The 14474-nt window shown below is 36.7% G+C and overlaps 1 protein-coding gene and 1 long non-coding RNA gene across 3 annotated transcripts in view; one reads left to right on the top strand and one right to left on the bottom strand.

The window, feature by feature from the left end:
• DCHS2 (dachsous cadherin-related 2) overlaps positions 1-12846 on the top strand; it is a 260058-nt gene extending 247212 nt beyond the window's left edge. The window contains exons 17-20 of the mRNA NM_001358235.2: positions 1816-1946; positions 3765-4051; positions 5286-5418; positions 7429-12846. Coding sequence (NP_001345164.1) covers positions 1816-1946; positions 3765-4051; positions 5286-5418; positions 7429-10052 — 3175 coding nt within the window. The 3' untranslated portion in view covers positions 10053-12846. The remainder of the gene's footprint in view (positions 1-1815; positions 1947-3764; positions 4052-5285; positions 5419-7428) is intronic.
• LOC101927947 (uncharacterized) overlaps positions 1-14474 on the bottom strand; it is a 469997-nt gene that overhangs the window by 54232 nt on the left and 401291 nt on the right. The gene's annotated exons all lie outside the window — the stretch shown is intronic.

Here is a 14474-nt window from a genome sequence, read left to right as displayed (position 1 = left end):
ATGTTCTAACAATGAAAACAAAGTGAAAGTGTATCAACTTTGAAGACATAGTTTCTTAAAAGGTGGTTCCCACAACTAGCTGAGACTAATTCCACTTCTGAAATAAAGAGCATCTTCTAATTAATAACTCATTTTATTACTCAGCCACCCTCCTAGCCTTCATCGTGTTCAGAGGGGAGTGAAAAATAAGCCAATAATTATACATTAGAATGTGATATATACACAATAAGAGAGGTATGTTCAACAAGTATCATGAAGCACAGGTTTCCAGTTGACCAACACATGAACCTGAATCCCAGCTCTGTCATATAATGTATGTATAACCTTGGGGAAATCTTGAGAAACCAACATTCAATACTTACTATAGAAAAGCAAATAAGGCGGCTCCCTGCCCATAAGAAACTTACAGAAGAGGCAGACAAATATGTTATTAAGAAAAAAGAGTGATGATTGCTATGGCAGAAGAATGTACAGGGTGCTATGCGAATACATAAAGGTGCATTTAAATCAAATGAAAGGTCCATGACAACTTCGCAGAGATGTGAGCTTTGAAAAACCAAGGTGTAAGGGCTGAGATTCCATGTAAAAGCAAGAACAAAAAAGTTTATGTGAACATGTTCAGGGGTTTGGATAACCTCTTAGAGACATGGAGAGCCAAAGAAGAGTTTTAAATAGGGAGGTCAGGTTTTCAAATTAGGATCTTAGTTAGAGCAATTGAGCGCAATATAGAGGGTGGATGGAACAAGAGGAGACTCACAGCAGGGAGGTTGGTAATTTATCAGGTCCTCCTGGTGAGAAAGGATACAATACATATAGAGCATTCCAGGTAAAAATGGTGAGGGGCTGAGGCTACAGGGGACTGGCTTGTCCAGGTTTGCCTGGGACTTTAGTGGATGTAGCACTGAAAGTCCCATGTCCAGTTTGCCTGGAGTATCTTGGTTTTAAAAACACTGCAAGTCTCATGTCCCAGGAAATTCTTCACTCCCAGACAAAGCAAAATGTGCTGATTACCATACATGAGGGCTCTGAAGGTAGGAGTGAAATGGCTGGGGACACTAATCCAAGTGACATCCAGGAGGTAATACCGATAAGATACATAATTAGTTGAACATTGGAAGGGTGGTGAGAGAAAGGGAGAAGTTGAAGACAGTAACAAGGTTTGTAGTTTGTTTGATGGACAAGCTCATTGTAGCATCATCCAAGAGAGATTAAATTAGTCTATGTAAATTCTTTCAGATCATGGACTTTTACCTCTACTTCACAATCCTAGCCAATCATACATCTTCTGTAAGTGTGTTCATCATAGCGGTGTCCTGTCTTATTTCTAGCATTTCGATTGATTTGCTATTTGGATCCAAAAATATCAGTACAAAGCAATCTTTTAGTGGCTACATCTTTTGTTGGTTCAGTAAGATGGAAATATGTAGCAATATCCAGACCAGGGCATGGCAAGGTGGAAACAGTCTACTTATCCAAAGTACAGATATTGGTGTTTCTATTTTTTAAGATTATTCTTCACAGGACAGGATTGAATTTTACAGTCTGGCTCTCCGAAATGGTCCATTTTGACATTAATGCCTCATGATCCCTGGCAGCTTGCTGGATTTGGTTCTCTGAACATGCCAAAAATAAATAAATTTCAGAGTACCATTCTTATGAAATACATTTTAAATGATGCCATTTAGAAAATCCAAGAGAAAAATAAAAGTAGCTAGTCAGCTCATTTTAAAATTTTCAACTAGATATTTGATATTTATGTTGTTTTTCTAATTCCTGGATGATGAATCACATTCTTTGATTCTTTTTCCAAACCAGCTTGATTGTCCAAGCCACAGATAAAGGGATGCCCAGGCTTTCTAATACGACTGTAATCAAGGTACAGGTGACTGATATAAATGACAATGCCCCAGCTTTTCTCCCCTCTGAAGCAGTGGAAATTACAGAAGGTAAGTGTGACAATTTGGCATAGTGGTTTTGATTAACTTGTATAATATCATTTACCATTTTCTTTAGCCAGACACTGTATTAACATGAGTGCTAATCCTCAACAACCAAGCAAACTAGATCATTTTTGTCTTCATTTTGCAGAACAAAAAAATGGATGATCATAAGTTAAATATTAAATGTCAAAGGAGTAAAATGTCAAAGCAAGTCCCCATGCTCCAACCATCATCCCTTATAGTATCTGTTTATAATGCAGACATTTCCTACAAATTATATCTACTCTATGAAGAAGCATATTTTGTTGACTGTGATAACCATTGTGAACCTCCTCTAAGAAGAATCAGCATTCATAACTCTGTCAGTCTTTTCAGGATACGAACAACAACTAATTAGTGAAGTGAATTAGATGTTTATTGCACAAAGCCATCATTTTTCCCAGAATAACCTTATCTTCAACGTTTGTACCACACTAATGGTAGAGGTTGAAACTAGAAATTTTTAAGTGAGATGCTGGTTAACCTTCATTATTTGGGTCTGTGGGTTATACAATGGTCCTCTAGTCTGTGGACCCAAAGTTGTCCATGGTCAATGGCTGCGTTGGGGAAACATAACCTAAGTCTTTATAGTTGAAGATGAAAATAATGGTGACCCTCGCTTGCCTCTCTACTTCACTCGTAATACGACATTAATTCCTAAAATGTTTCTAACATTTTATTATGTTCACTTTCTAAACAAATTACAACCATAACCTCTCACAGAGGGAAATATTCCAGACATGTCTATGCATAGAGATATCTACAAATATTACAACCTACAAATAAAATAAATTCTCCAGTTTTGCCTTTTGCATATTTGATATATTTTCATTTGATTTTATTGAAGGATCTATTTTTCAGCACATGCAATTAGTGTTAAAATATAGCAATGGGCCTAATATAAATATATCACAAGAAGAAACTACATAAATCAAAACATACTGAATAGGGTACGGTGTGGTTGGTGCACATTGAGAGTGTTCAAGCTTGAAAATGGAAAATTATGGGTTTCATATACAATGGAACTATTCTGAGCATCTTGGCATATTCTTTCTAGCTGTACCATATCTGTAAGATTAAAAACAAAGTCCCTTTCACGGGCTGTTTAGGCTACAGAACATATGTGGTGAGTGAGGCATTGAACATTTCATCTATTTTGTAATTTTTTGGTGAATAATATTTGAGATTTGCTTTCCTCACTAGTACTATGTAGACTTTGTTTTTCTATAGTCTTAATAATTTTGAGAGTCAGATTTAAGAAAAGGAAGCAGTGTGTGCACCACTCCAAAATAAATAATTGTACAAAAATAAATATAAGGAAATAAGTATCTAATTCGGACATTAGTGCCCAAATATTTAAACCTGGCCTGTTTTTGAAAATGCCATGTTTTGTATTAATGTCCTGAGTAATACCTTTCATCCCATTCATATCCCCCATGAAGATATGATTTTGATACAGAAAGTGTATATTATAAATAAGTGGCTTAGAATGTTTCTTGGTACTGGAATTGTGTTGTAAGCATATAATGAAAATAATGTAATATAAAAATTGAATATACCCTACCTCCTCAATTCCCTACTCAGTGGTAAATTTTCACTTTTATTGGTCTCATAAATTCTTCAGAGTTTTTGTTCAGTGCATAATGAGCTTTGTATGAGAAATCAAGCCAAGAAAGAGCAAATCATATTGGACTTAGAATAAAAATACTTGGATGGAACTACTAAAGAAATGTATTTCAAAGGATGAATTTTAATGGAGACTGACACTGGTCATGACTATTTCAGATTCTTTGCCTGGTGTAATTGTGACTCATGTGTCAGTTCATGATGTGGATTTGAATTCAGCTTTCATATTCAGTTTTGCCAAAGAGAGTAATCCTGGAACCAAGTTTGCTATTGATCAGAACACTGGAGTGGTGGTGTTGGTGAAAACATTGGATTTTGAAGAAATGACTGAATATGAGCTGCTCATCCAAATTTCTGATTCAGTGCACTACACAGAGGGAGCACTTGTAGTCCGTGTGCTGGATGTCAATGATAATCCACCAGTGTTTTCTCAAGATTTCTATCAGGTAAAGGGCTTAAAGAGATGCCGAAACCAAAGCCAAAACTAGAAAGAATAGAGAATAATGTAAGTCTTCCATCGCCGATAGACTAATTCAGATAGACAGCATTCACTGTTTGTAGTGCCTAAGTTAACGCTGCGGGTTTTACACTTAATATCACGGAGTCTATAAGTACATATGGAAATGAATGTCTCATTCGGTTTAGTTTACTACATATGTATTTTTTTTTTTTTTTAGTTTTTAGAGGTTGTAGTCCAGTTTGTCATGACAATTGGAACCTGCCAAATATTTGCAAACCACTGATAAGACTGTTTGCATTATCTGCAGTTAATTTGGGAAAATTCTTTCTTTCATAGGCATATTTTTGGAATGCATTGATTAAAATTTTACAGAAAAAAAATCACGAACAAAACTATAAAGTGGAAATTTTAGCTTTTAGAGCATAATATATGTTTATAGAAGTAAGGGCAAGGATAGCATTCAACTCAATACTTGCAAATGGACTCCAGAACTTTTGAATGTAGCAAATGCAAGATTTAAGTGTAAACACAAGGGGAGGGTAACCTAAGTAATGATCCCCTGTGAAGGCTTGCTTGAATTAATGCCATGCATGTAATGGAATAATATATTAGTGAATGTATTAACTATTTTCTGCCTCATAGAAATAGTTTAGAAGAACTTTTTTTCATAGTAAAAAAAACTGAATAAAATTATTTTTAAAACTTAGTTTTTCTGGCCAGGCGTGGTGGCTCATACCTGTAATCCCAGCACTTTGGGAGGCTGAGGTGGGCGGATCACCTGAGATCAGGAGTTCAAGACCAGCCTGGCCAACGTGGTGAAACCCCATCTCTACTAAAAATACAAAAATTAGCCTGGTGTGGTGATAGGTACCTGTAGTCCCAGCTACTCTGGAGGCTGAGGCAGGAGAATCGCTTGAACCCAGGAGGCAGAGGATGCAGTGAGCTAAGACTGCGCCACTGCACTCCAGCCTGGGCAACAGAGCAAGACTGCATCTCAAACAAAACAAAACAAAACAACACCTTTTTTTCTGAATCCAGGGACTATTCACACAATCTTTTTAATATGCCAATTCCATAAATTAATATGTCTAACAAAGTCAGGTTGTATTGTATGGTTTCCATAATCAAAATGAATAAAATGACCTCATGTTCTGTCCCTGTTGGTGAAAATACCTTCAGCCTTTAAGCACAATGTCCCTATTTTTCTCTTTTTCCCTCAGGTCACAGTTCCTGAATCAATACCTGTGGGGTATTCAGTGCTGACTCTGTCAGCCACAGACTTAGAAAGCAATGAGAACATTTCTTACAGAATTCTATCCTCTTCTAAGGAATTCTCCATTGATCCTAAGAATGGTGAGTTATTTATAATTGCATTAATGCTCATAGGTTTGGGTTTCAAAGTAGAAACCTGAAATAACCCTTTCTAAATGCCTCTATAAAAGTTCCCCACCTCCCCACCCCGCATGGAATTATAAGCACGACTGTTTCATTACTCTTCACATGAAGTGCTGCGATAGCAAATGCCAGTGTTATTTCTCTTCTCCAACATCTCAGTGGCTGGAAAGCAAATGTCACTGTTTAAATGCTGGTAAATGCTCACAAATTCAGAGACCCCAGTATAATAAACACCCAGTTGCATCCGTCCAACCAAGCACAGTTCAGGCAATTATCCCAGGATTCAGCAAGAATCAAAATGATGTTGAAGGGATTAAGTTAGTGCTGAAGACTTCATATTACTAGAGTCTGGATGCTTTCTTCCCAAGCCAAGTTAAAAAAAATCAGTAATAGCATTATATGTTCAATAAGCACAAGAATAATTTTAAAAGGAAAATTATTTAAGCATCTCTACCAACTGGAAACCACTGTGGTGTTTTGGTTTATTTGATGCTTCCCAAGGCTTTTTGTCTTTTTATCAGAGACCAAGACATTCGTGGTTGTGAAATGCCTTCAGGCAAGTGATTCTACATTCAATTAAACAGTATATAGAGAAAGTTGAACAGTGAGTGGACATTTAATTTAATTTAAAAGCTAAATTTTGTAAAGATGAATAAGTAGCAAAACAATGTCCCTAGCAGAGCATACTAGAAAATAACAGGGCCTGGGAGACATCACACTCTGTGTTCCCCATCTCTATCCACCATTGCATCATTTCACAAGTGAGAGTTCATTTAAAAATTAACCTTGGGATTACCTGAAAGGGGAATTTAGTCCCAAAATACCAGCATGAAGCCCACCGGGTGTTGTAAATGGAGAAGTACGTCCTGTATCATGCTGCCTGTGGATGAACGATTACTGCATGATTACAAACGTATCAGGAATTTGGCTCTTCTATTCTTCTCTCTGTATCCCCACCCCACCCCCCCACCGTCTTTTCTCTCTCTGTCTGTCTCTCTTTCTGTAGTCTCAGATGATGGCAACTGCCACCCCGGCCACAGCAAATCACAGTGTGCAAGGCAGTTCTTCTGAGCACTCAATCCTTAGCAACACTTTTACTTGACATGTGCTATTGACAGATTTTGCACTGAGCTATTGATTCAAATATTTTTAAAACATTAAATGTTTAAAACATTAAAGGCAATGTTAAAAACATTAAATGCAATGTTTAAAACATTAAACGCACTAAGCTATTGATTCAAATATTTTTAAAACATTAAATGATGGCCGATTTAGTTCATGGTGGGACTCTAACTGAAACATGGCATTTAAATGTCAGCATTCTGTATTCTTTCTTAGTGACCATCCTTAAGACATATTTATCTTAAAAATGGTTTAACACACACATTTATAAAAATTAAATATTTCTATATTTAGTACAATAAACTTTATCAACTACATTTCAGCAATAAGGGAAACATCGACTTGCATGATCTGTAGGAAAGCCCATCTCTCTAATTAAGCAATAGTATAATAGTAACTCAGCATTATCATTTTTACTGCTTTCATTTGGCTTGAATATCAACAAGTATTTCCAGAATAAGTATCTTTATGCCAGAATATCTTTATACATGTGTTTGTGGGTAGTAGAATGGGGTATAAATTTTACAAACAAAAATATTTTTTAAGAATAGTGGAACAACTTACTATACAAAAACAAAATTCAGAGGAATTTGTGGCAACAGCAACCTCAAGCAGCACACATATTTCACAGAGTGAATGTCATGAATATTATTTCTGTATCTTACATGTTATAAACATATAAATACAATAATTTGTATTTCTATTTGGAGTCATTGTTCATTGTGACTTAACAGATCTAACAAAGAATTAAACACATATTAGTAGACATTGGATAGTCAACTGCCGATTAAATGGATCATCAAAACTGCACCTCACAGTGTTGAAATACTATGTCTTATTTTTCAGGCACAATATTTACTATCAGTCCCGTATTACTTCTGGATACAATATCAACAACTCAATTTCTTGTGGAAGCCAGTGATGGTGGAAATCCTGACCTGAGAGCTCTTACTTTAGTGGAGATAGGAATAGAAGATATGAACAATTATGCCCCTGAATTCACAGTCAAATCCTATAATCTTAGCCTAAGTGAGGATGCTCTGGTTGGAAGCACGCTTGTTACATTTTCAAACATCGACCATGACTGGACCCGTGAAAACACATATGTTGAATATTCCATCATCAGTGGTAATTCACAGAACAATTTTCATGTGGAAACTAAGTTCTTTCATTCAGAATATCCTTATAAGCAAGTCGGTTATCTTGTGTTGCTTCACAGTCTGGACAGAGAAGCAAGTGCTAGCCATGAGCTTGTCATTCTGGCATCTGACAGTGGCTGCCCTCCATTGAGTTCCACAGCTGTCATATCAATACAAGTACTTGATGTCAATGACAATCCCCCAAACTTCAGCAGCCTGAGCTATCACACCCATGTCAAGGAAAGCACCCCTCTAGGGAGTCACATCACTGTGGTCTCAGCAAATGACCGTGACACAGGGTCACATGCAGAAATCATCTACAACATCATCTCTGGAAATGAGAAGGGACATTTTTACTTAGAAGAAAACACTGGAGTTCTTTATTTGATTAAACCTCTGGATTATGAAAAAATGACAAAATTCACCTTAACTGTCCAAGCTTCAGATGCAGAAAAGAAACATTTTTCTTTTGCAGTTGTGTTTGTCAGTGTCCTGGATGATAACGACCATGCACCTCAGTTTATGTTCTCAAGCTTCAGCTGTATTGTTCCAGAAAATCTGCCTATTTCCTCTACCATATGCTCTATAAATGCTCTGGATTTTGATGCTGGTCCGTATGGAGAATTGACCTATTCTATTGTATCACCCTGTTTTCTCACTCATGGAATGTCTTATGATCATGATCTCTTCCTCATTGACCCTTTGACAGGGGATATTCATGCTAAGCAAATCCTTGACTATGAAAATGGCAATAAATACTGCCTCACAGTCCAAGCCAAAGACAAAGGTGATGCAACTGCCTCCTTAGTGGTCTGGGTGGATATTGAAGGGATAGATGAATTTGAGCCCATTTTCACTCAAGATCAGTATTTTTTCACCCTCCCAGAAAAGAATAAAGACAGACAGTTGATTGGCAGAGTGGAAGCCTCAGATGCAGATGCTGGTATTGATGGAGTCATTCTTTACTCCCTTGGAACCTCATCTCCTTTCTTTTCAGTAAATAAAACCAATGGAAATATTTATTTGATTAGAGCCCTTCCCCTAATAAAAAGTCAACTCAACAAAGAAGACACCTTGGAAATGAAAATAATCGCTCATAGTCCCAAATCAGATTCCAAGTTTGCATCTTGCACTGTTTTTGTGAATGTGTCTTTCTCCTCTGAAGGAACACCCTTGGCAGTGTTCGCCAGCAGCTTTTCAATCAGCCTGGTGGTCTCCTTTTTAGTGTTTCTGATACTCATCTGCATTCTAATTGTAATGATTTTAAGACATAAACAAAAAGACACAATAAACAATTATGAGGAGAAGAAAACCTCATCTTTAGATGCGGACTTGAGAGTGACCCGGGATGCCAGTGTGCTCAAAGCCTTCCAGAAAACTGACGACTGCAGTAACGAGGTGGTCCCTGTGGATGCCACTCCGGAATGGTTGAGTTTAATAAGTATCATGGAGAAGGATATTGTCAATCTGTACAGACACTCAAACTCCAGTGGCCACTGTTCTGTGGAAGGAGAAACTGCAGAAGATAAGGAAATCCAGAGGATAAATGAGCATCCCTACAGAAAGTGCTCAGACTCAGCTCTGAGTGACCACGAGTCCAGGGTGCCAGACTCGGGTATCCCGAGGGACTCAGACCAGCTCTCCTGCCTATCTGGGGAAACTGATGTGATGGTGACTGCCGAAACAGCAGAAGCCAGCCAAACATTTGGGGAAGGAGATCAAGGGGAAGGCTGCAGCACCACCTGTGCTCAAAATAATGTGTTACCCCAGACAGTTCAGAAGAGAGAGGCAAAAGAGAGCATCCTGGCTGACGTTAGAAAAGAGTCTGTCTTTATTTCAGGTGATCAGGAAGTAAGGTGTGCAGCTCTTTCAACTCAGACGACCTCTGATCATGATGGAAAAGACAACTATCACTGGAATTATCTTCTTAGTTGGGAGCCCAAATTCCAACCTCTTGCCTCAGTATTTAATGATATTGCAAAACTAAAGGATGAACATTTGCATATGCCTGGCATTCCAAAAGAGAAGAAATCTTTTGTTTTTCCACCCCCTTTGATAACAGCAGTAGCCCAGCCTGGGATTAAAGCAGTCCCACCAAGAATGCCGGCAGTAAACCTGGGGCAGGTGCCTCCGAAACACCCACGCTCTCCCATCCCCTACCATCTTGGTTCTCTGCCAGAAGGCATGACTCCCAATTTTTCTCCATCTCTTTCCCTATTGACGATGCAGCCTCCTGCCTTGTCTCCACTGTTGAGAGAAGGAGAATTATTAGGAACACACATCAGTGGTACATGCCATGAACTTAAAGCAGAAGATGAAGTTCAAATATGAAACCACTGGGATGCCAAGTACCTGCTCACCATTGGTCATGAATGAATGAACAAAATGTTTTCAAGCCAGCAACTCGAGATTGGGCTCATTTTTATCTAAAAGCAAGTGATGTAATTTAGTTAGAGTTTTTAAAACTTCCCCATTAAAGTTTCTCCAATTTCTTCCAGCCTTAATGAAAAGTTATTTCCTCTTTTAATCCTTATGTGTTGCTCTCAGGACTCACATTTGTATATATTAAGTAGTGTATATTCTGTCAGACCTGTTGTCTGTATGATTAGACTTCCAAAGGACACAGTGAACTTAACTGACTGCCAGAATGTTTATATGGAAACAAAATATAGTGTACTCTGGTCACATTGCTGCTGATCACACTGCTATATCAAAAACAAACTAGTAAAGGCTAAATGGAGAATGAGTTTAGGTCAGAACATATAGCAGAGAGGGGAAGTCTAGAGGAATAAACTTTCATTTTAAGATAAAGCAATAGTTGGTGGATCTGATATATTTAGAGGAGTATTTCTCCATTTTTCCCCATATACCACACCTGTAGAGTTTAGCCATAATTGAATTTCAATGTGGAGTCTTTTGGAAAACTAATAAAAAATTCAGAAGGAAATTTGTCATAACTCTGTGACAATAGGGAGAAACAAATAGGATTTATAATGATAGGTAATATAAATAATTATTCATGATTCAATAAACCAGAAATGCATGTTCCTGATAGAGGGCCAGGATTGATACTCGCAATATTTATGTGGTTTGCTACCACCTGAAACATATTATCTTGGCCTTCTTTACAAACAGAATGGCTTTTTTTTCAGGTCTTGTCTTATAAGTAGGTGTGGGTAAAGACATTAAACTTCAAAGGTTAATTTATAGCAATGTCTTCATTTTATTTTCTTCTAGATACAGTAACTTTTTTGTGTGAAATAATTTATCCACTCAATGTCAGTTTTTAAAATTTGTGTAGATAAAAATCATGTCATTAGCTAATGATAAATCTCATAGAGTAATTTAGCAATATATTTTTAAATGAAGTTTTTTATGGAAATGTTTCTACTATAAAAGTTAAGAATAGAAGTCAGAAGTCTTTTTACCATTTGCTCACACACTTGCAGCTTTAATTTAACTGTCATTAGATGGAGCAGTTTGGCACATGGTTAAAATGACTCTGTACAATTACTATTTTAGAAATATAGCAGTGCTAGATGGTGCTCACATACAATGCTCTAGCCTTCTTTCTGATAAGCCTGGGAATCCCTCACAGATTCTCATCCCTTTCAGGAAGGTGGACAGCATCCTGACGATGGTGGTTCAGAAGTCCTCTTCCTGTGGTCAGCATGAGGGCCAGGTGTTAGGCTAACAGTTTAGGAATTCTAATGTGAAATCTAAAGGGTATCGTGTGGCTTTCTTAGTAGTTAGGATGGGCTTCTACTACAGATATAGTTCCTTTGTGTTCTTCTTCCATAGGCCTCATCTGTGAAATTTTGTGACATAATTTCTCTTTACTAAAAAATATTGCAAGGTGCAGTGTTTGATGTCTGGTTTTGTAGATAAGTAATTCTACAGCTTCCTATGCTGATATTTTCTATTATCTATCTATGCTGACTGAGATTGGGAACAAATGTATAAAGCTATATTACAAATTGTATGAAACATGAAGGTTTTTGAATAAGCCTGAAATCCTAGGAAAAATCCTTTAGGAGTAGAAAATTTAAATACTATGGGACTGATATATGATGTTTCTCCTTTTCTTCCTGGCATCTGGGGAAGAAGATTTCATGACTTATGTAAAAAAAAAACCCACACATATTTAATCATTTATGTGTTCCAGTATTTATTATCTCTGACTCTTTTGAAAACATTGCTTTGAGCATAGAAAGAAACCCTATACTATATTTTCCTAATTATATATGGAAGTTTTCTTTTCACAATAGAATTATTTCTGGAAACTAAGAACATTTTGTTGTTTTTAATTAAACAGGTTCTTCATTTACTTATGCTTAAAAAGAGTTATTCATCTACCTATTCCCTAAGTTAGTTATTTATTACTGTGATTTATTTACTCATTATGGATGTGATTCTGTATGTTTTCTAGCCATTGCATAACAAGAGAAGACATGTAATAGAGCTTTTTTACCAATATTTAATGGATTTTTAATTGATGGGTTTATCAGTCTGTATCCAGTGCCACAATGCCACCAAACAAGTACTACAAGTGGGAATGGGGTTAAAAATGTGAACACGCTGGTTAAGTGTTTGCAATAAATCGTATGTCAGCTCTTTCAACTAGAGTGCTTTTTTTCCTAAGTAAACAATATAATTTGTACATTTTTCCTTCAAGTTTAATATTAACTTGCCTCATATGTTCTGGGTTACTTTGCTGATCTATGCACTGGCTTTAGCACTCTGGAGGGGGTACAGAACTTGTTAGTGGAAAATCATATTAAGCCCCAAATTCATAAGCTATAAAATAAAAGACAGTTGTCTCTTGTGGAATTTTGGCTGCCTGATGAAATTCTGGACTTTCTTGTTGGCAGCCTTAAAAATACTGGTGTAAATCAGTACCAAATGGATATCAAAATTCCATGTCCTAGTAGTAATCATTGAATTGGCTTCCAAAACAGATTCCTGGGCAAAGAAAAAGAAAAATGCTGTATCTTTAGGGATTTGATCATTTAACTCTTTTAAAAATTATTAAAATGCACTCTACATTACTGGCTGCCTCCATGTATTCATATTCAATCTATAATAGACGTCCAGTTGAGACAGGATTTGTGTTTCTCAGCACCTTCACCTTTAGCCCTCCTTGCTGTGTTTTCTAGAAGTTATAGCAATGAAAATTAATTGTAAATTTTAGTTATTTTCATCCAAACAGACACTTTGTTACTTTTGTTCTGCCATTCTATACATACCTTAACTTTAAAAAGCAAGACATAACTAAGGATCTAAGATAATCCACTTCAAAGCAATAAAATATATGGCGTTAATATGGTCAGTGTATTCTCACGTGATATTCCAGATAAGCAAATTGAGTTTATTTTCACAGCGTGTTTTACTTGAGCTCAAAGGTATAGAGACATCTATTTGGCCATAACTGAAGGAACTTAGAATGGAAGATGGTCCTGTACAGGAGGGATACTGGGATCCAGTGGAGTTGCAGAAGATTTGCTTAGGACCCAAACGAAGCATTTCAGTGGGAGTTTTTACCCACTATAAAGATGGAAGGAGAAAAGTGAAAGAGGAAGGGAGGGGGAGAGGCAGGCAGGGACAGAAGAGAAATAGACAATTAAATCTTAAAATGAATAATTAGGACACAAGTAGAGAAATACAAGAAAGTAGATGGGTAGGGACTTTTAAAAAGTAATTTTTAGTGTATGAAGATTTTTCTGAGTCATTTGCCCTTCACAGATTCATCCTTTTGAAGAATCTCTTTTCCTCCTTCCTTTGTGTTCCTCTCAAATCTCTCTCTCCATTGTCTGACAATTTAGATGTATCAAGCTGTGAATTGAAAGCTAGATGATAATGAATGAGAATACATTTGACCATGAAAACTTGCATTTATTGTGTTTTTTTGGGGTGAATTTCAGAACAAAAGTAGGAATGATTACCGTATTTCCCACTCTACACTGGCACTGAGAATGCCACAGTTTTAAGTAGTTGCTTTTATTCACATAAACAAATAAATGGACATTCAGAAGACAGTGGGTCAGAATGTGGAATTTCATTACCTAATCTTTTTCCTGATGGCCAGTCCGTTTTTAAAATGAGTGCACGCTTGACAGTTGTGAGTTTATGTTAAAATATTACATTTTATATCACTTTTAAACCACAGTATAAAATAAGACAAGGGCATGGTCAACAGTTTGTTCTCAAACATTGTCAATTTTATTTGAATTCTGGTGCATAAATTATTCATAAATTAAATTGTTCCATATAGATCAAAGAAATTTGTCTATTAGAAACAGAATGTGGCCATCTTAGAAAGATCCAGCCTAAAGTGGCTGGAGTATCAAACTATACCTTTCTCTTATAAACTCAGAACTTGGCTATTTGATGACAATTAACACTTCCTACTGTTTTGGTCTACATATCTTTATTCATTTCACCCAATGCATTTGCTAAACCAAAACTGTGAAGTGAGTAATAGAGAGGGGAAAGGCATGCCAAATAAATAGCAGATGCACAAGTACATCTCTTGAATGAGAAAGCATTATTTTGGTTAGAAAACTAAATAAATGGATTTCGTTGTGAGATTATAAACCCTCAGGGTCTGTCTCCACTTGCATTATGAGGTACAGATGGTTTTTAGAATGAATGAGTACATATGTGAACGGGCACAGAGGATGCTGTAATGCAAGGATGTGACACATAGCCTTGAACCCATTAGGTGAGAATGCTACAATAGTTCTGTGATTTTAG

This window comes from Homo sapiens, chromosome 4 (assembly GCF_000001405.40).
Source record: "Homo sapiens chromosome 4, GRCh38.p14 Primary Assembly".
NCBI classification, from domain to species: Eukaryota; Metazoa; Chordata; class Mammalia; order Primates; family Hominidae; genus Homo; species Homo sapiens.
The sequence above is the reverse complement of the archived record's forward strand: the minus strand, read 5'-3'. Positions and strand labels throughout refer to the sequence as shown.